General features: G+C 39.1%; 1 protein-coding gene and 1 long non-coding RNA gene across 62 annotated transcripts in view; one reads left to right on the forward strand and one right to left on the reverse strand.

The window, feature by feature from the left end:
• Positions 1 to 448: 448 nt before the first annotated feature.
• Positions 449 to 20,743, reverse strand: part of ST18 (ST18 C2H2C-type zinc finger transcription factor) — a 299,042-nt gene continuing 278,747 nt past the window's right edge. For all 61 annotated transcript variants that reach the window (NM_001352871.2, NM_001352836.2, NM_001352872.2 and 58 more), the window contains 4 exons: positions 15,663 to 15,751; positions 7,949 to 8,052; positions 5,886 to 6,029; positions 449 to 2,949 (listed from right to left, as the gene is read on the reverse strand). In NM_001352871.2, coding sequence (NP_001339800.1) covers positions 2,809 to 2,949; positions 5,886 to 6,029; positions 7,949 to 8,052; positions 15,663 to 15,751 — 478 coding nt within the window. In that variant the 3' untranslated portion in view covers positions 449 to 2,808. The remainder of the gene's footprint in view (positions 2,950 to 5,885; positions 6,030 to 7,948; positions 8,053 to 15,662; positions 15,752 to 20,743) is intronic.
• Positions 9,922 to 15,830, forward strand: LOC124901945 (uncharacterized). Its single transcript, XR_007060911.1, has 2 exons — positions 9,922 to 10,600; positions 11,080 to 15,830. It is a non-coding gene; the product is annotated as an uncharacterized LOC124901945 (long non-coding RNA).

Genomic DNA, 20,743 nt, shown 5'->3' on the forward strand with positions numbered 1-20,743 from the left:
GAAAGAACACATAAGCAGAAGAGGTGCTATCAGTAATTTATTATTGTTTTTCTTTAATTCAAGTTTCTTTAATTTTAGCTTATATGAATCTAGAGATATACTCCGTATCCAAAGTAATTTTGGAATCAGGAGGGTGGGCCCTCTATCTTGCCACTTATTAGATCTGAGTGAATTTGCTGCTACTGCTAGCAAAGGTGTTCCTTATGTCAAAGCATTCCCTGTTCTGGAGGTGAATGCCACATCAAAGGCAGTGACAGCTTGTCAACTGGCCAAAAGTCCTGTCCACTTTAAGGCAAGCAAACCGGCTGTCAGAACAGAAATGTCTCCGAATGACTGGCAGGCTCAAGTGCACTCTGGGGACCTCACCAGGGCTCGTTCTGGACAGTGGATTCCATGGGAAGGGGATACTAGTCTCCAGATAACAGCCTGAGAAAGATCACATCAAAACTCGTTATCAATTTTTATTTCCTACCATACACCAAATGTACAGCACTGAACACAATTTTGTTGCTTTGATGTAAGAAATATTAAGTGTTTGGAGAAACAGTATACAAACAAACTACCTCAAATTAAAAAAAATGCATACATCATTGCCTTTTTGTTTACAAAAGACCCAATTTACAGTATTGATCATTAACATAGTTGAAAAGAAAACAAATTCAGTGCACATTACAAAACACATCAAGTACAAAGTAGGCAAATAAATACAAACATACTTCACAAAACATCCTGCTCAAACTATGCAAACACAAATAAATTAACCTGAAGTCATAGCAAATTATAGTAATAAATATGTAGGTTGGTAAGAGATTTCTTTTAAATTAAATAAAATATATAACAAACTTGTTAAAATATTTAGCAAATTAAACGTTTGTCTTTGTAATAAGTGAGCTCATTTGTATGCATCTATGAAGTACTGTATAGCAAAATGTTTGCAAGTACACAACTGTAATAGAAAATTTTGTTTGGTGTCCCATTTATAATAGACAGCACATATGGTAGCTCATTTTTTAAAACTGATTTTTAAATAAACACCGTTTCTACCTAAGAACAGACAGTTCATCTTCACTAAACTAAGGTTCAAGAGTTCAAATGAACTCCAAACCAAAGATAAGCCCCACTTAATGCATAACAATGACCAAAGTTTCATGGGAGTGGAATTACTGTTGAGTATTGTTTTTCATTTGTGCAGGTAACAGTAATAACAGTGGAATACATCAAGCCTGTGAATGCCATCACTTTCCATCTAAATATCCATGAGGTTAATAAAAAATAAACACTTTTGTTTATAGCACAGAAAATTAAGCCCACATGAAGTTCATGTGTACATTTACACAGAGGCACGTCTGCACATGAAATGTGTGTGCACACCAAAAAGGCAGTTTAGCTGGTTGTCTATACCTTTTCCTTAAAAAAAATAAATATAAAAAAACTTTTGAAACAATGCTTAACTACTTTACAATCCCTGAAATAGACATTGCCTTTACTATAGAAACTATGAAACTCTGATCCGTTCAGAAATTCAAGATTGTGGGCTCAATTTGAAGTGTGGATGAGTCTGTGTGTGTGTGTGTGTGTGTGTCTGTGTGTGAGTATGCCTGTGTGTGTGAGTGTGTGTGTATATTTTGTAGCATTTGAAGTTTTGTGGCAAGATTTCTATCAAATTGAATGTTGTCTTGTTTCCTATGGTGGGTGAGACCCAAGGTGCCAGTGTTTGAAGTAATCATTCAGATTGGAGTAGCATTTTTTCATGTGTTACTATATTTTCCATTCCTTTCCAGTCAACCCAGTAAGATAAATGCTATTTCAGGGGATATGGTATCTACAAAATTTTTCATTTGGATGTGTTTGTATTTGCTAAGTACAAATCTACACCAATATTGTCACTTGTATATTGTACCAACATATGGCAGGAAAGCCTGGCTGGTCACACCAAGTCTTATTTTTCATCTTGGGATACGAGTTGCCAACGATCTGATATGACTTGAAAAACAAACAGACAAATCTGCATCACTAAAAAGGCTTATGTTTCTTTAAAACATTTCAAATAAATAATTCATATTAACGAAAACCGTCCAGCCAAGTCGAATACTTTGCTGATTGCTATATTTAATTATTGCTAACAAATTCTGAGCAGGCTGTTTTCCAGCATCCTGTGCTTTTGTGAGTGCGGATTCCCCACTAGTGGGCGCCATTTGTCTTCTTATTCCTTCCGTGCAGCTCACCTTACCGCAAATTCATTTATAAATACAAAAATCAGTGAAAGGTGGGGGAAGAAGTGTGCAATAAAAATCAAACTCAACTATAGTGCAGTCCTTAGACAAGGATTTCCTTCACCCTTTCCTGTTTCCTCATTAAAACCCAGCAAGAAAGATGACTTGAGAATAGCATTTCTATTTAAATCCTATTGGAAAATAAATTAATAAACACACTTGTAAAAATACGGCAGACTTCAAAATGCAGTTAAAAGATAAAAAACTCTTTGATTAGTAATAAATAAATTATAAAAATGTCACATTTATTTTACATATACTTTACAAAAAAAAAAAGAGTACAATGAAGAAATAAAAGAAAAACATATGAAAATAAATAAGATCTAATAATTGACTGCATTGCTTTTAATCCAAGAAGTCTATCATAGTTTTTCTTTCCTTTTTATATCAGCTGGGGAAAATAAAATTAGTGCAATGTTGCAAATTGTAAATGCAGTACGGCAACCTCCACGCCTTAGCAGTACATGAACCTCTAACAGATCCATCTGGAGTTTACTGCTGTTGGTAACTTCTGTTGCCCGGCAGCGCTGTGATCCTACACATGGATACCCTTCACTGCCTGTTTGATACTTTCCAGTAGAGCTTTGCATTCCGGGGAATAGTCCCGTTCCAGATTGCTGTACATATCTGTGAGTGTATTTACATATGCTTCAAAATTCTGCTCACTGATAGGTCCCTAAATGGAGACAAAACACATTGACCCAATCACAGTGGTTCAGGCTGAGGGAAAAGAAGGACCCAGTGACATCGAAGATCAGTGATCCGGGAGTCGGGAGGGAAGGCAAGGGTGCATATGACTGCTGGGGTTGCAGGGGATGGAGAGAGACGGAGTGTGTGTGGGATTCATCTGTTCACTCTTAATTCAGGAGACGAATATGACTGGCTTGTACAGTATTTGGGGTTGATTTGGAGCACATAAAGTATATGTCTGGCTATGGACTCGGACTCCACAAAACTTTTCTACTTCTCTTGGGAGGCAGCCTCAGCCTTGACTGCACATGCCTTGCACTACATATGCCTCCTGTTTGTGGAAGGTGAATATTTGTGAGGCTGGGAAGGAAGGGTTGCTTGTACTAAGTGGTGCCCTTAACAGCACTGGGCAGAAACTTAAAGAATTTAAGATTTGAGCGAGTTGCTCAGTAACAGTTGTGATGGAAAATTTTCCTCCTCCATCCTCAGATCCTTTTAGCCTGTTTCTCTCCTGTGGCATCATTGCAATATACTTTTAAAAATTTCTCAGTCTCTGTAAGCAGAATATCAGTTTCACAAAGTTTAAATTTATTCATACCGTGTTTTTTTTTTTTTTTTTTTTTTTTTTTTTTTTGGAGTCAGAGTCTCGCTCTATTGTCCTGGCTGGAGTGCAGTGATGTGATCTCACCTCACTGCAACCTCTGCCTCCCAGGTTCAAGCGATTCTCCTGCCTCAGCCCCCCAAGTAGCTGGGATTACAGGAGTGCACCACCACTCCCAGCTAATTTTTGTATTTTTATTAGAGATGGAATTTCACCATGTTGGCCAGGCTGGTCTCAAACACTTGACCTCAGGTGACCCACCCGCTTCGGCCTCCCAAAGTGCTGGGATTACAGGTGTGAGCCACCATGCTTGGCCTCCCTGTTCTTTTTGTATGTTTTGGTCTCTCCTTTACCCAGTGTGATGCTTCAAGGAGAGCACATGCTGGATACATGTAAATTTCACACAAATGTGAAACGGAATGAATGTCACAAGGGGAATGCTACTCAGTCATTTCTGTTGCCACCATTTTCCCTCCTTTTTAAAAACACATGACGTGAGACTTACTTCGCAAAGGTGCTTGGAAGAAAGGACATTTAAATGTCAAAGTACTGTTATTGTTGCTATTTAAGGAAATAAGCTTTCTAAATTTGAAGCTATTTGTTGTGCTCTGCTCGGCAAAGCGCTGATCTAAATTATTAGTATTGTCCAATCATGATTCTCTGTCCCCTTCTCTTTCCTGCCTTTGTTGTGCCTTGTGTTTCTTGGAGAGTCAGGGGATTGGATGGGAACCCAGGTAGCACAGTGGGTAAAGGCCACTCTGCAGGGCCGGGCCCACTTGCCTTGTGTTAGCTCTGGAAACTTGATCAAATTAAGTAAGCTCTCCGAGCCCTGATTTCCTCAACTATGGAATGGGAATACTAATGCTCGCTCTTTGGTGCTTTCGTAACATTTTGTGTGATCAGCACTAAAAATCACCACTAGAGTGCCCTGTGTGGTGAGTATACAAGGCACAGGTTAACTTGTGTGGTACCTGTTTTTTATGGCAGTGGTGAAGAAGAAAATACTAAGGAATGCATATTCAAAGTATGATTTACGCAACATTCATAAATAACATTGCAATGATTTTTAATAATTACCTTAATCCTTACCATAGTGGTATCATTTATTTTGCTTTGTGTTCATTATTACATTATTGATTTTTTGGCTGGTGGGAGTCAAGAAACATATTTGGAATCGGTTAAGATAAGAACTCCATGCTAGGAACTTGGGTAAAATGGAGGGGCTTAATGTTTTAACCAAAACCAATTACATTTCTTTATCACATTGCTGCTTCTATAAATAATTTCATATATAAAATAGGCATCTTTGGAAAAATTATTCTAAAAATTTAGGTTCTGAGGAAATTAAAAGCATTTAGCAATGTAGTCTCTCCTCCAAAGATTTGTCTGTATTTAAGAATATGTAAAAGAAGTTAATTTTCTATGAATTCCAAATACAGTCATGCAATGCATAACAACATCTCAGTCAATGATAGACTGAATATATGATGATAGTCCCATAAGATAACAATAGCATGTTTTTATGGTTTAGATATGTTTTTCCATGTTTAGATACACAAATACTAATAATTGCCTAAAGTATTCAGTACACTAACATGCTGCACAGGTGGGTAACCTCAGAGCAGTAGGCTGTACCATATAGCCTGGGTGCAAAGTAAGTAAAGTAGGGTCTGTCATCTGGGTTTGCGAAAGTTCACTGTATGATGTTCACACAACATCAAAATTGCCTAAGGACACATTTCTTAGAACGTGTGCCCATTACTAGGTGATAGAGGACTATAGTTGCATACCTAAAATACATGCTTAGATTTTGAAAATGAGGATTCCTTGTTCATTTTTTTTTGCTTTTTATTTTATATGAGGAGAACTGAAGTACGTTCTTCATACTTCCATATGAAGAAAGCACCTAGTCCATTGGGAATTGAACATTTTTGGTTACAGTTCCTGATTTGGGCGGATGATGCAAATAATGGTCTCAAATTTTGTAAGACATGGAATCTTCTACTTGGAAATACATTTTCACTGAGGGAGTTTTGCCCTTCAACTTTCACATGACATTGTGAACCGAGCTTTAAAAAATCCTTTGTTTTTAAATGACTTTGGCCTCTAAAAAATTCTTGGCCTTCATATAATTTAAATAAATGTATCTACCATGTTCCCAGAGAGGGAGATTACTCCAAGCCAGACTGTGATGAAGTGTGGTCACTCTGTGACTGCTCACAGGTCTCCTCAAAGCTCAGTCGTGGCAACCCCGTGGGTAGATGCATGATGACACTGCAAATGCTTGTAATGGAATGGCAAGGTTCTGGCCTTGAACTTACCATCTGTGGAAGCTGGATGTCAGCAAGGCTTGAAATGAGAGCTTGGCTTAGACCTGCCAGCTCTTTCAGCAGACTTTCATTGTTCTGTTCTATGAGTTTGTTCTCCTCCTCTATCGTCTTTAAGTTGCTCTCCATAGATGTGATCTACAACAGAAATAACTTGGGAATGTGAGTAGTGGAGTTTGGAAGGAGTGTAAAAGGTTTCTCCCTGAAGGAAAATGCACCAAGTGCATCTGAATACTAAGAGATGCAGAGATGCATGCGTGTAACTTCTCAGCATGAAGCTGCAGCCCCACTGGATTGTTTGAAGTGCTGGAATCAAATCCCCAAATTTTCATCTTCAGCCCAGACTTCCTCATGAATTGTAGAACTTCTCCACATGGCTGTATGATGGATATCTCAAACTCAACATGTTTAAAGTAAACTTTGCTATTTTCCCCAAACTTGCTCCATCCGCTGTCTCCCTTTTCCAGTCAGCAGCAACTCAACTGTAGTGCAGACCCCCCATGGCTCTTTCTTTCATACCTCACCTCCACTGGCTCCTCCTTCAAAATATCCAGGATGGGACCACTGTCCCCTCCACTCTGCTGCCCCCTGGGCCCAGCCACCAGTGTGACTGTGCTACCTTCTCGTGGGTGGCCTTGTGTTTGCCATTACCCCATCTAATCTCTTTTTGGCCTTTCCTCAACACAGCCACCAAGATGAGCCTGTTAAAATGCAAGTCAGCATGTCAATCAGATGGGATTATGTTACTCGTTAGCTCAAAACTGTGCTACAGTTCTGCACACATTCAGAATAAAAACCAAGGTCTTTAAAATGGCCTAAGATGCCCCGTGTGAGCTGCCTTGTTGTCTCTGAGACTGTTCTCCTGTGACCTGCCCCACCCAGCTCACTCACCTGCGGCCACACTTCCCTTTGCTATTTCTGAAATCCCCAGGCCTTCTCATGATGAGCACTTTTGCGCTTGCAGGGTTTCTTCTGTCTGAAACACTCTTTCTCCATACTTGTTTGGCTAACTCCCTCATTCCTCAAGTCTTTGTGGATGGCTTTCTTCTTCCTGGGGGCTGGTGGTCCTATTTAGTATTGAAATACAGCCACTCGCCCAGCCCCCTGCCATTCTAGCATACAACACCATTGATCATTTATGACTTTTTTGTTTATTGTCTGCTTCCTCCTTCTAGACTATAAGTCTCAGGAGGGCAGAGGGCTTTGTGTTCTTTGCTAATGGTTTTCTAGAGGAATTCCCATGATTTCTAGACAAAAGTATCAATCTGTGGACCAGATGGCCATTAAATTGATGATGGCAACAATGGTCACTCTGGGTAAGGAAACCTAAATTTCAGATGGATTAAAACCCTTTGTCTTAAGCTGTTGTGTGAGGACTTCCAAGAGATCCAGTAACCATGGTGGCATAAAAATCCTGCATTTCAGAAGAGGAGAGAAGGGAAGGGGAGAAAGACAGTCGTATGCTCTGTCTCATTCTTTTGCTGCTAACTTGTTGCAAGAGAGTTATGATTCATGTTTTAAAAATCTTGGACTGAACTGTTGATTTCCAGGAGATGAGGCAGACATCACAAAGAAGAATGCAGAATTGAGAAATTGCTTGGGCTTTTAGGTAAAGAATTTGCTCAAGAAAATATTCAGTAAGATCTGTTTCTAATAAATACTTACACATTCAGAGGTGTTCCAAAAACATTAAACAAAAAGTTGCTATATTTTACTTGAATTTTGAATAAAACCAAGGATTCTTACCTTTCCATCACATTTTTTTTCTAATGCACCAGAGACTCTTGGGTTATAGGATGATCTGCCTTGTTTGCTTATAAAAACTTCGATGCCACCAGGGCAAAAACATGAGAAAGCTTGCCCAGAGCTACTGAATAAATGGTAACCTGGGATGATCCACCTATTCAGAATTTTACAATAATTATGGAATCTAGAAACACTCAGCATATTGACTCTAAGTTACCATATATTTTCACACAAGTTTTAAAATTTCAATGTTTTGTTTCCACCAAAGATTATGATTACATTAAGGATCATGAATTACTTCTTTTTTTTACCTGGGTCTGAAGTTTCATCATATCTGCTTCAATTTTAAGGTTGGATTCATTCAGTTCCTTTATTTCTTCATCCAAATGCCTAATTTCTTCATCACTCTCTATTCCTGTAAAGAGTAAGACTACCTTAGTTCAAACTGAAAACTGTTAACAAATGAGTCATTATATGTTTAATTTGTGATTTGCTACTTGAAAATGAGACTTTCATTTAGTGTTTTTACCAAAACAATGCATATCTAGGATTCTGAAAAAGTGGATAAGAGAAGTTACAGATTTAATTTATTGGTAAGAAAGAAAAGAGGGAGTAGAAAAGTGCCACCCTTGCATGTAGCTCAGTTATGTCCCAGGGGTGCTGCCAGACCCATTTGTAAATATGCCTTCAATTACATCTTACCACACCCTACAGTGGGACACGCTCCATTATACCCTCCTCACATATGAAGACACCGAGCCCAGAGAGGTTAAATGAGACCCCAAGAATCACTGACAGAAGTTAAATAACCTGCCCAAGTTCAAATTAAGAGGCAGAGCTGGGATTAAACCTCAAAGCCCTTGCATTCTCTTATTCAAAATGCTCCAAGGACAGTTTTATGCTGAGTAATTAAATATCTGTTTAGTTGAATTAGACCTTAGGACCCATGATGGGAGGCAGAGCTGCGGGGCTGCTGGCAGGTGAATTAGTGTCCAGAAACACATTGGCATAGTCTTCCACGTGGACATGGATGAGGAAAATGTAATTTAGGGGGAAGGACATCAGCTTGGGAGTTTGACTCCTGTTCTGCAACTTGGGCAACTTACTTATCTTCTTTGTGCTTCAGTATCCTCTTCTGTAAAATAGGCATGTTATCTACACTGTGAGAATGAATGCAATAAAATGTAGAGCGCTAAACATGCCACAGGCTCTCAGTGAATGGGGGTTATTTCCCATGATTACTTTGTAGAAGGAGTATGACTACATTTGAAAGGTTTCAAGGACCTGGGGAAGGTAGTTAATATTAAGGGTGCGGGAAGCAGGATTGGAGGTAATTTACCTCCTAGAAGAATGAATCTGAACCAGGGTGACAATGAAGAAGGACATGTGAACTTCCACGTAGAGACTTCATAGGAGCAATTTCATGAGAGAAGGATAAAGGGTACTTGGCTTGACAATTGGTTTGAAAGAGATCTGGGCTCTTATACTTTCCTAGGGTGACTACTTTGGGAAATAATCCATTACCTCCTGAAGGTGGATGCTCACATTCTCTATGACCCTACAATTTCTTCCTTAGGTACACACCCAAAACAAATGGTTGCACACAGGAAGCATGCATAAGGTGTACACAGCAGTGTTGCTCGCCAAAAGCACAACTTGAAAGGAAACCACATGCCCACCAAAAACAACACGGGAGATTCTTAGTAATTTAGTGCGAAGAGAAAAAAAGTAAGCCGAAAGTTACATCACATACAGCATGATAAAACAGATGGCTATTCTGTGGGTACTTACTGCTTTATTAAAAGTAACTACTGAATAAAGTGAGCCATGCATGGACCAATGAAGAGAGTGTGTCATAAGATTGATATAACTCTGGGCTCTAAGATTTAATGAAAAAAGGAAAACAAACCAACATATAAGACTTAGGTACCTTAGTAGTTAGACCAGTTTAAATATGAGTCATCAGTATGACATGGCTACTAAGAAAACAACCAACAGTTACCCAGGACCATACTCATGGAACTATAGTATCTGGGACTCAGGATTCATTCTGCACTGGCCAGCTGTGTCTGGAGAATTGTACTGCATCTTGGAGCCCCGTATTTTACTGGTTGGTGTGCAGGTACAGGGATCTCCTCTCAGACAACTGATGGGTAAGAGCTGGGGAAGAAAGGACTGAAATACCTGGATTCTCAATGAAACAGGTATTTGGAGTGCTATCAGCACTTGAAATTTTTCTGATTTGAGCTATCGAAAACTTCTATTGTTATAAATTTCTTTGACATATTGTTTTTCTTTTCTGTCTTTTTATAGTAAAATTCCACCTCAAAGAATGTTATTTTCTTACATAATATCTGGTGAGGCAGACAAAAACCAAGGAGATGCTTGTAAAACATGAAGTGTTCTGAAGGAAGCACAAAGGGTTCTGGGAGGCCCTTCACTGGAGAAGATGCACTCCTTTCAAGACTTTCAAGATCAGAAGGAGGCAGGCCTGTGAAAAACCAGCCAGCAGCTGAGCATCCAAGAGGAGGAAGGAAGCCCAGAGCCCAGGCTGGGAAGGGAGTGAGTGCCCCATGGACAGCAAGAAAGTGAATGATGGGAGCAGGCCATGGGGACATCCTGGGAGCTTAGGTTTATTCCAAGTGCAACAGGAGCCAGGGAAGGGCTGTAGGTAGGAGAGCTGGGGTGATTGAGCTGAATTTTCACAAACATAATTTGGAGTTTTGAGTAGCGGATAGATTGGAGAAGAGACAGAGCAGAAGCGAGGAGACCCATGAGGAGATGATTGCTGGAGTCCTGGCTGGGTGTAGGGAAGTGAGGTCAAGAGAAGGAGACAGACTCAGGATCTAATCTGCAGGCAGAATTTGCAGGACTTGTGAGGGCTAGAGGTAGGGGGTGAGAGAAGAGAGGAATCGACGGAGAAGAGAGGAATCAACCCTGACTGCTTGTTTCTGCCAGAGCAGGTGGGTAACTGTAGAGCTGTCTCTGTGATGAGGCAGACTGGGAGGCTGAAACTTGTAGTAGGATAAGTAAAAGTTCAATTTTGGCTAAGTTATGAGTGCTTGTGAGAAGACTGTTTAAGTGACAGCCTGAGTTCTTGGTTCTGGGATTTCGTTAGGATTATGTTTCGCTGAGGGCCAATGTTCCTGAAGACACCCCAGCCTCTTAATCAAGATGGGGCTGTTTGGAAGATGCCTAATAACAAAAGATGGCTGGAGCTTGTGAGGGAAGATCATAAGATGAGATCTCAAAAAGGAAACATTGTCATGGGATCTAATACGTAACAGGCTCCCTTTACATGCTCAGAGAATTAATCAGTGAAGGAACTAATGTTTTTATTATAATTTCTGGGATCTGGGGTGCTATTTTAGCCACAGGATCAAATTCAACTAATTTCTTTGTAATGTTTCCTGTTAACATATCACTTTATCTGTTTCCACAGAGTCGCTCATCTGCCAAACTTCTTTCCATGCACACAGTCTCTAAGAACCTTTGGATTTCACTCTGCACTTCCAAATATTAACTCGTATGATCCTCATTTAAAAACCATGAGGTAGAAACATTTATTACCTCAAAGTATGGATGGGAAGCCAAGTTACAAAGTAAGTGGTACAGCGGGAATTCAAATATAAGCTCTCTGGTTCCAGAATATGTTCTTTTAACCATGAAAATACTATCTTTATTCATAGATGTTTCATCTGTTTTGGAAGTATCAGTAAAAGGTGTGCCCTGATGTTTACAGACATACTTCTAGTAGAGTGTTGGACTAGCTAGGTATTGCTGATTATCAAGGAAACCGTATAAACTATCCACTAAATTATTATTATTATTATTTTTTGAGTCAGAGTCTCACTCTGTCACCAGGCTGCAGTACAGGAGTGCAATCTCTGCTCACTGCAACCTCTGCCTCCCAGGTTCAAGCGATTCTCCTGCCTCAGCCTCCTGAGTAGCTGAGACTACAGGCGTACGCCACCATGCCCAGCTAATTTTTTTATTTTTAGTAAAGACAGAGTTTCACCATGTTGGTCAGGATGGTCTCAATCTCTTGACCTGCTGATCCGCCTTCCTTGCCTCCCAAAGTGCTGGGATTATAAGCATGAGACACTGCGCCTAGCCTCCACTAAATATTTTACTTAACTGTTCAGTGACTTTGATTCTTTATATAATCCATTTATGTAAAAGCAATAGATTATGCTTTCTTTTCATTTAATAATTCTAATATTTATTTGGTACTAATCTGTGCCTAATTTGCATATTTGGGGATTATATATTATATTTTCTTTGTATTCTGTATAATTATGCAAGCTATGTATATACTTGTATAGAGCAAGTATTCTCAACTTATGAGGCTTTAAGTACTATAGTTATGTTTTTTCATATTATACAAATGAAGCAATTCTATTATATTTCAAACAAATTCTATTATATTTCTTGAGTGAACTTCTATTATTTATTTATTTATTTATTTATTTTTTAGATGGAGTCTCACTCTGTCACCCAGGCTGGAGTGCAGTGGCACGATCTTGGCTCACTGCAACCTGTGCCCTCTGAGTTCAAGCGATTCTCCTGCCTCAGCCTCCTGAGTAGCTGGGATTACAGGAGCCTGCCACCACACTCAGCTAATGTTTTTTTTTGTATTTTTATTAGAGATGGGGTTTCAACATGTTGGCCAGGCTAGTCTTGAACTCCTGACCTCGTGATCCACCCTTCTCGGCCTCCCAAAGTTCTGGGATTAAGGCATGAGCCACCGTGCCCGGCCGAACTTTTATTTTTAAATTGAGTTTACGTACCAAAATTGTACTATTTTTTTTTATTTAGGGGAAAATGAGTTAATGTAAATTTGGCTATTTAGTTACTAAAGGAGTGAGGAGAGTTAATATCTAGAAATAAATTATATATAACTATATTTAGGACACACTATTTTGTCACATGAGAAGAGCTAGAAGGAGCTCCTAAATGCAAGACCATATACATAGATCAATTATCATAACTTCTGCTTGTTTCTACAAAGCACAGAAGGACTGGCATTCTTTCTTATACAGATGGCCTAATTTTATTATCAAGGACTAGTAAAGGTCTTTAAAAATTAATGTGGCAATTTAATTATGGCAAGGATGGAGAACTAAAGATCAATTATTCTAAAATTAATGTACACATTTTTTGATATAGACCTTCCATGTTTGAAATGGTTTGTACATAATATTCCCCTAAAATATTATCTAATTCAGCTAATTACATGAATGATTTGTACGTAGTTTAAATTAACATAGTATGCTAAAGGTAAAGCCATATGCACTTTGTATTTCATTGCAATTTGATTTAACATTTTTAATGTCTGAAGGTGTGTTGGTTTACATCTACTTTAAAGATCATCCAGAGAACAATTATTGTGGCCACACTTTAAGGTAAGGGATCATGAAACACAGCATTGTTAGAGCAGACCCCCAAACCACTTTAGGTCCTTCTGACCTGAATCCAGGTGGCCTTTTTCTCATGCAAAGTCATTGTAGGTTCTTAAGCTTTACACAGCATCAGCCTCTACTTTCTTGGATTGTAAAACGTGTACTTTTCCAGTTAGTTACCTGTCCACATAGAATGACTGCACCCTGACACTTGTCAATGGGTTCAACCCAGCTCGCTGCTGCTCTATATTCTTTGAAAGCTCAGCTGAAGATGCTAGACATATAGGGACCCTTTGAAGTGTATGTGCTCAGCCCTGCTGTTCCTGGGTCTCTGTGCAAGTCTATTGTGGGTTCAGACAGACCACCTGCTGCTGGCCCCCTGCAAAGCTCTATCATAATTTGATGTAATGCCAGATGACTGTTCTGTATTTATCTTTCTTAGGAGTGGCCTTGTAATTTATATTCTGTTTACAGTATGGATGGTAGTGGTGTTTTCATAATGAGAACTCATAAGAAATATTTTCTTCATGCACTGGGTTCCAGAAGGAGTTTTGCTCTGAGTTTACTTACTACCACGTGATTCACACGGTGATTATAGCTTTCTTTTGTGTTGGCTTCTAAAAGGCAAGGTCAAATTTGCAATCCTTATTTACCCAGCAAGAAATGACTCTTCGCACACGTCTTAGTGTCCTCAGGGTTGCTCCATCTTGCATTCTTATCTTCGACTTTCCTTTGTCTCATTTTTGAATTAATTTTTTTTTTTTTGAGACAGAGTCTCACTCTGTTGCCCAGGCTGGAGTGCGGTGGTGCTTTTTTGGCTCACTGCAACCTCTGCCTCCAGGGTTCAAGCAATTCCCTCCCTCAGCCTCCTGAGTAGCTCGGACTACAGGTGTGTGCCACCACACTGGCTAATTTTTTTGTATTTTTAGTAGAAATGGGGTTTCACCATGTTGGCCAGTATGGTCTTGATCTCCTGATCTCGTGATCTGCCCGCCTCGGCCTCCCAAAGTGCTGGGATTACAGATGTGAGCCACTGTTTCTGGCTGAATTAAATTTTTAACCAGCATTTTAGAAAAATTTCATGTAGCTTTGCAGTCCTTATCCTTTAAATACTATTTGAAATAAGGAGATAAATAAATACACATTAAATTGTCCCAATTTCACTGCATATGTACTGAGAGGTATTTAGGGAATGGGCAGTATTTCCAAGGAGCAGTCAGAACATCTAGTGAAAAGCTCTTTTACTGAGCATGTGAATGCTGGAAAGACTGGAAGAGGCAGGCCTGTCCCCAGCAGCCAGGGCTTTATTTCTCCTCTGCATGTACACTCCCCTCCTTTGGCGCTTAGAGGTGAGGACCCATGGAGGGAGAGAATCCCCAACAAGGACCGCTTTAAATACAGCAGATGAAGGCCTTGGAAGGAAACAGTAGGAAGCTTTCCCTCCCTTGGATACTGCATGTCTTCTTTTTAAAAATCACACACACAAATTAAAAAGATTGAGCAATGCTTTCAGGGAAAGTAGCAACAGTGAAAGTCCCCAGCTCAATTCTAGTCATGTGCCAAAGATGCCATCAAATAAAGTCTCCAGAGCAAAATAATTGCTCTGTCATTGTTTCTCAAATGCTTTGGAACGATCTTTGATGGAAAACAACACAGGCCCCAGATAATGCTCATTAGAAATCTCCAGAAAATGCATTCAAGTATCAAAGGAAAATTGGAGGATCCAAACAGAGAACTCAGAAACTGTGTCTCTGAACTTGGAGAGGGGATTGACACTAAGGAAATATCTAGGGAAATGTAGATGTAGGTAAAGATCTGGATGCTAAGTCCAAACCTTCCAGAATCTCTATAAAAATATCATGTTGGGCACAGAAGAACACAATTGAAGGATTCACATACAGATGCCAGAAACTGCTTCCTGAAATTTTATAGCAGATTTATACCAGAAAAACGCGCACGTACACACACACACACACATACACACACACGAGAGAGAAAGAGAACACACACACGTGAGAGAGACTGAAGGACACAACTTCCACTAGTGTATCTTTGTTGTTGTTGTTTTGTTTAGAGATAGGGCCTCTCGCAGTTGTCCAGGCTGGAGTGCAGTGGCCCTATCATATCTCACTACATCAGCCTCGATCCTGGGCTCCTGGTCTCTACAATCCTCCTATCTCAGCTTCCAGAGTAACTGGGACTACAGGTGTGCCCCACCACACTGGGCTAATATTTTTTTTTTTTAGAGATGGGGTCTGGCTATGTTGCCCAGGCTGGTCACAAACTCCTGACCTCAAGCAATCCTCTATCCTTGGTCTCCCAAAGTGCTGGGATTACAGGCGTGAGCCAGCATGCCCTGCCAACCACAAGTGTATCTTAATCCATCATACCCCACTGCCTGACTTTCTCTGTTGGAGATCACTCCTTATTTAAAAATAAGGAAAACACCAAAAAATTGGTTTTTAAACAAAGTTATAATTTTAGTTCAAATCTGAGGAAACCTTTCTTCTTGTACATTAAAATTATGCTTCCCACCTAGAGAATACTTTGACACACGGAACGCTTTGGGGAGCCAGGGTCTACACCCTGCAGGAGGTGGTGACAGCCAGCCCTGTGCTCTTACCCCCAGTTGCTTTGAGCTTGATGGTCATGAGTTCTTCAGAAACCTTGCCCTTTTTGATAACTTGTGCATTGAGAGGACATCCAGATAAGCTGTGAAAATAGAAATTGTACTAATGTATGAAATGTATATGATTTCTTATAAAAATTAAAATGTTTTATTCACAACCTACTATTTGTGTTTTTGCTGCCGATTAATTACATTATAACCCACAGTCTCTTTGTAGAGAGTAATGAATACATACCCATTAAAGCAAAGGCCAAAGGCCCTCAAATAATGTAAAATGTTTTGCTTTCTTTCCTTAAATCAAGGTACAAATAGTTACTGCTGATACACAATTATTATTTAATTTATTTTGTTAAATTGCTATTCATCTCCATTCAAGTAAGTTCTTTTGTTTAGTAGTGGTTACTTTATTTTCTGTAAATGTGAAATTGTACATATATATTATGAATAAGAATTGTTCCCAATTAGTCAAAATTCCATGAGTAATAAAGCAGAATCTAGTTCTTCCTTCCTTTATATAAAGTGTTCCTTGACCTTTATAGAATGACTCAAATTAATACAAGTCAAAATAAAGCCCTACCCCACGCCCCCATGGCAAATTCAGTTTGGTTATGGGAATGTTTTTAATTTTTTTCTTTAACTTTTACAACATTTTTCATTAAAAAATTCTCTACCCTGGAAGGAGAATAAGAGGAGCTGCCACAAGTGTATTCAGATGCAATCACTGCAGAGGCAGTCTATTACATTGCAGTGGTGTTTATAACCCTTCCATTTAGTAGTGGCACTCTTCAGCAGGGTTTCTTTCCCTTAATGTCATCTGTTTTATTTAAATTGCACCAGCATGATAAATGACAACATTGAAGAAAACTTGTTTTTCAACGTTTATGATCAGATAATTTTGTTGTTCTATCCAGCCATTAATTCTTTTGCAATCTTGCTGTGTTTTCGTAGAAACAATTTTTAGATCAAAATAGTGATGATCATAATCAGTCATTTAAAGTCTTTTTTTCTGCAGAAAGTTAGTTACAACTCATCTGTAAAGAAATCATTTCACTCTGAAGCTTGGGACATTTGGCAGGGTGAAAGAAAATATTTCTGAAGAAAAGCCCTTAATAAATGTGTGCTTAATTACTGTATTTTTTCAAGAATGCTAATTATTCTACACTAAGAGTCTATGAAATATAGAAAATAATAGACATATACTATTACATATATAGAAAAGGCTATGCAGTTTGCCTAATTTGATAAGCTATAGATTTTTCTACACAGAAAAAGAAAATAATGAAAAGCACAAACTCAACTTGGAAACTGTGTCTTCTATTTTCAGAAGCTTCTCACTGTCAACTGTGGCCTATAAAAGTTTCATTATCTGTTTTATGGGAAGTTTGCATGTCTGTCTTGTTTTATGTCACATATTGTATTCTGAGAAAATAATCATGAATATTTATTTGGTAAACTGGATATTTAAAGGTGACCTTCAGTGAGTCCATTTGTAACATAATGGATATTAATACCTCATTAGAACTTCTCTCATCCTCACCCTTAAAGGATCTACTCTGTGCAGACAACATGCCAGAGAACTTTCAGGGTGACACAGTGTTGTGGAAAAGTTAATGAAGCGTCCATCCATAATTACATGACTTAGAAGCAAAGAATATAGTTATGAAAGAGAGGCTTTGCTTCCAAAATGCCACTTGATTTTGTGTCTTCCAATGTAGAGATTTAATATCTTCCAGGATGTAAAATGAATCTTAAATTAAAAAAAAAAAAAGGGCAGGAAAAATATTTTAGAAGTCCTTTTTCCTTTTGAAGGCAGATTTTAAGAGGCTGAGGTATTTGGCTCCATACTGGAAAGGCAGAAAAAAACGTGCCTTATATGGTTTTGACCAAAATTACCATTCTATTATGACATATTAAGGGATTTTTTTTTTTTGAGGCGGGGTCTCACCAAGCCACCCAGGCTGAAGTGCGCTGGCACAATTTGGCTCACTGCAACCTCCACCTCCTGGGCTCAAGAAATTCTCCTGCCTCAGCCTCCCAAGTAGCTGGGATTATAGGTGCACACCACCACACCTGGCTAATTTTTGTATTTTTAGTAGAGACGGGGTTTCACCATATTGGCCAGGCTGGACTCGAACTCCTGACAGCAAGTGATCTGCCCGCCTTGGCCTCCCAAAGTGCTGGGATTACAGGCGTGATCCACGGTGCCCAGCTGCAATTTTAAATTATATCTTCATCTGCCTTCTTAAAGCAAAATGGCAGGTGATACAATGTATCTCGTGAACATAATTGCTTACAATATATTATTACTAAGTTTCAATAAAATCACAAAGATATGGCATAGCACTAAATGAGTTCTGTCAATCACAGGACTTCTGATTTTAAAGCTACAAACATCCATAATTGTGTGTGTGTTTTAATATATCACTTGTCTTCTCAGATTGCTATTTTTTTCAAAGGGAAAATTTTGTCACATAGAGATTTAAAGCAAGGTTTGAAGGTAGTTATTATATAAATATAATATGGATATAGTGTGTGGGTCAAATTGTTCTTAAACGTCCTACAAAGTGTGTTTTGTAATGATTCCCATTTTGGTTGAGAAAAGTCTATGCACTAGTGCCTGTGACACCTCAGCTTGGTGCCTGGCCCATGGTGAGGACCCATCATTAAACCTTAGGGGAAGTGGGGTGACACTGGCTTTCACGTGCCAACCTGTATTCAAAGCAATTCCATAACTTTCCTGTGCTTGTTTCATCTTCTGTCAACTGAGGATAATTATAATAACTATAGCTCACAGGGTTTTGCAAAGTTTTAAAGGAATAAACTGTACAAGTTACTTATAAGGGTGCTGTCTGTGGGCAAGAACCCTGAATACATGTCAGCTATTACTAGGTAACAAGTGATGGGAAAGAAATTGAACAATCTCAGAGATTTCAGATTCAAAATATGTAACATATAAAAGCCAGTTGTGAGTTATATTCCAAGTCATGTAAGTCATCCTGCATATATATACATATAGGCTTAATATTATCTTCACAAACAGGAAAGAAGATCATCTGTGTTGAACCCCTACTGCGTGCCAGGCATAAGCGAGGCGTTTTGCCATATTATTCCATTAAATTCTACATAGGCCAGGCACGGTGGCTCATACCTGTAATCTCAGCACTTTGGGAGGCTGAGGCAGGCAGATCATTTGAGTTCAGGAGTTTGAGAACAGCCTGACCAACATGGTGAAACCCCGTCTCTACCAAAAATACAACAAATTAGCTGGGTATAGTGGTCCCAGCTACTTGGGAGGCTGAGGCAGAAAAATCGCTTGAACCTGGGAGGCGGAGGTTGCAGTGAGCTGAGATCACACCACTGCACTCCAGTCTGGGTGACAGAGTGAGACTCCATCAAAAAAAAAAAAAAAAAAAAAAGAAAGAAATTCCACACACAGAAAGGAGAGAGCATTCCACCTTAAAGAGAATACCCCACATTAACTACAGTCTCTTAAGTATTTGAAATCACAAGAGAAATTCAATTCCATTAAATTCTACACATAGAAAAGAAAGAGTATTCCACCTTAAAGAGGATACCCCAAATTAAATCCAATTTCTTAAATATTTTAAATTGCAAGAGAACTTTCGAGTCAAGAATGCTGAAATCTGAATTACCTTTGTCTAAATTCTTCACTGCTTCCCATCTCCTAGAAAATAATAACTTGGAGGCTGGGTGTGGTGGCCCATGCCTGTAATTCCAGCACTTTGGGAGGCCAAGGTGGGCAGATCACCTGAGGTCAGGAGTTCGAGACCAGCCTGACCAACATGGCAAAACCCTGTCTCTACTAAAAATACAAAAATTAGCCTGGTGTGGTGGCATGCACCTGTAGTCCCAGCCACTCAGGAGGCTGAGGCAGAAGAATCATTTGAACTGGGGAGGCAGAGGTTGCAGTGAGCCGAGGTCGAGCCCACTGCACTCCAGCATGGGCGACAGAGTGAGACTCTGTTTCAAAAAAGAAAGAAAGAAAGAGAGAGAGAGAGAGAGAGAGAAAGAAAGAAAAAGAAAGAAAGAAAGAAAGAAAGAAAAGAAAGAAAGAAAGAAAGAAAGAAAGAAAGAAAGAAAGAAAGAAAAAGAAAAGAAAATAGTACCTTGGCATTAATATTGCAGCCTATATTTTTGAAATCAGAATTTTCTTTTTGTTATTATGAAATACATAATATGTAAACAGGAACCTATGATGTGTATTTGCAGTTAAAAGAATATTCTATTTTTAGAGATGGGGTCTTGTTCTGTCACCAGGCTTGAGTGCAGTGGAGCAATCACAGCTCACTGCAGCCTCAAACTCCCAGGCTTAAGCAATCGTCCTGCCTCAGCCTCCTGAGTAGCTGGGACCACAGGCATGTACCACCATCAATAAGCACTACTTATTTACCCACTCCACTGTTAGTGGGCACCAAGGTTGTTTCCAGTCTGGAGTTAGTAGAGCAACACTGCTCAGATGTGGTCAGACAGATCTCCGGGTTCTCATATGCAGAGATCCTCCGGGCATAAGTCTGAGTGTGTGCTGGGGCAAGTGCATTTGTTGTTTTCAAATTGACTCTTTAAAGATAATTTGCTTCTTAAAGTGGCACTATCAGTTGCTTTGCCACCTACAGAGTATGGGAGTATCTGTTGCTCCATATCCTCACCAAGCCTTGGCATCATCATTTAAAACTTCTTCACAAGTTTTAAAGATAACTTCATTATTGCTAACTGAGGGATGTGCTCACCACAGTACAGCATTAATATTTCATTAGCAGTATCAACATGGATATTACTGAGGTCATTACAAGGAATTCAAGCTATTGTACAGTAAATGTGCCATTAGGCATACTTGATTTGTGACTGAAGTTCCTGAATATGAAATAATAATTCAAATTCAGAATAAAATAATGTGTGCTATTGTGGACATAAGTCTACATTTGAAAACCATCAAAAAATAAACCACTGGAAAAAGTCAAGTTTTCTCCATAAACAGGTTTTACTGAATATTTAAATATCTTTAAACAAGCAATTCCTGGAAGGCTTTATTTTCTGATATCATCCGTATATAACTT

The sequence above is a fragment of the Homo sapiens genome, chromosome 8, assembly GCF_000001405.40.
Source record: "Homo sapiens chromosome 8, GRCh38.p14 Primary Assembly".
NCBI classification, from domain to species: domain Eukaryota; kingdom Metazoa; phylum Chordata; class Mammalia; order Primates; family Hominidae; genus Homo; species Homo sapiens.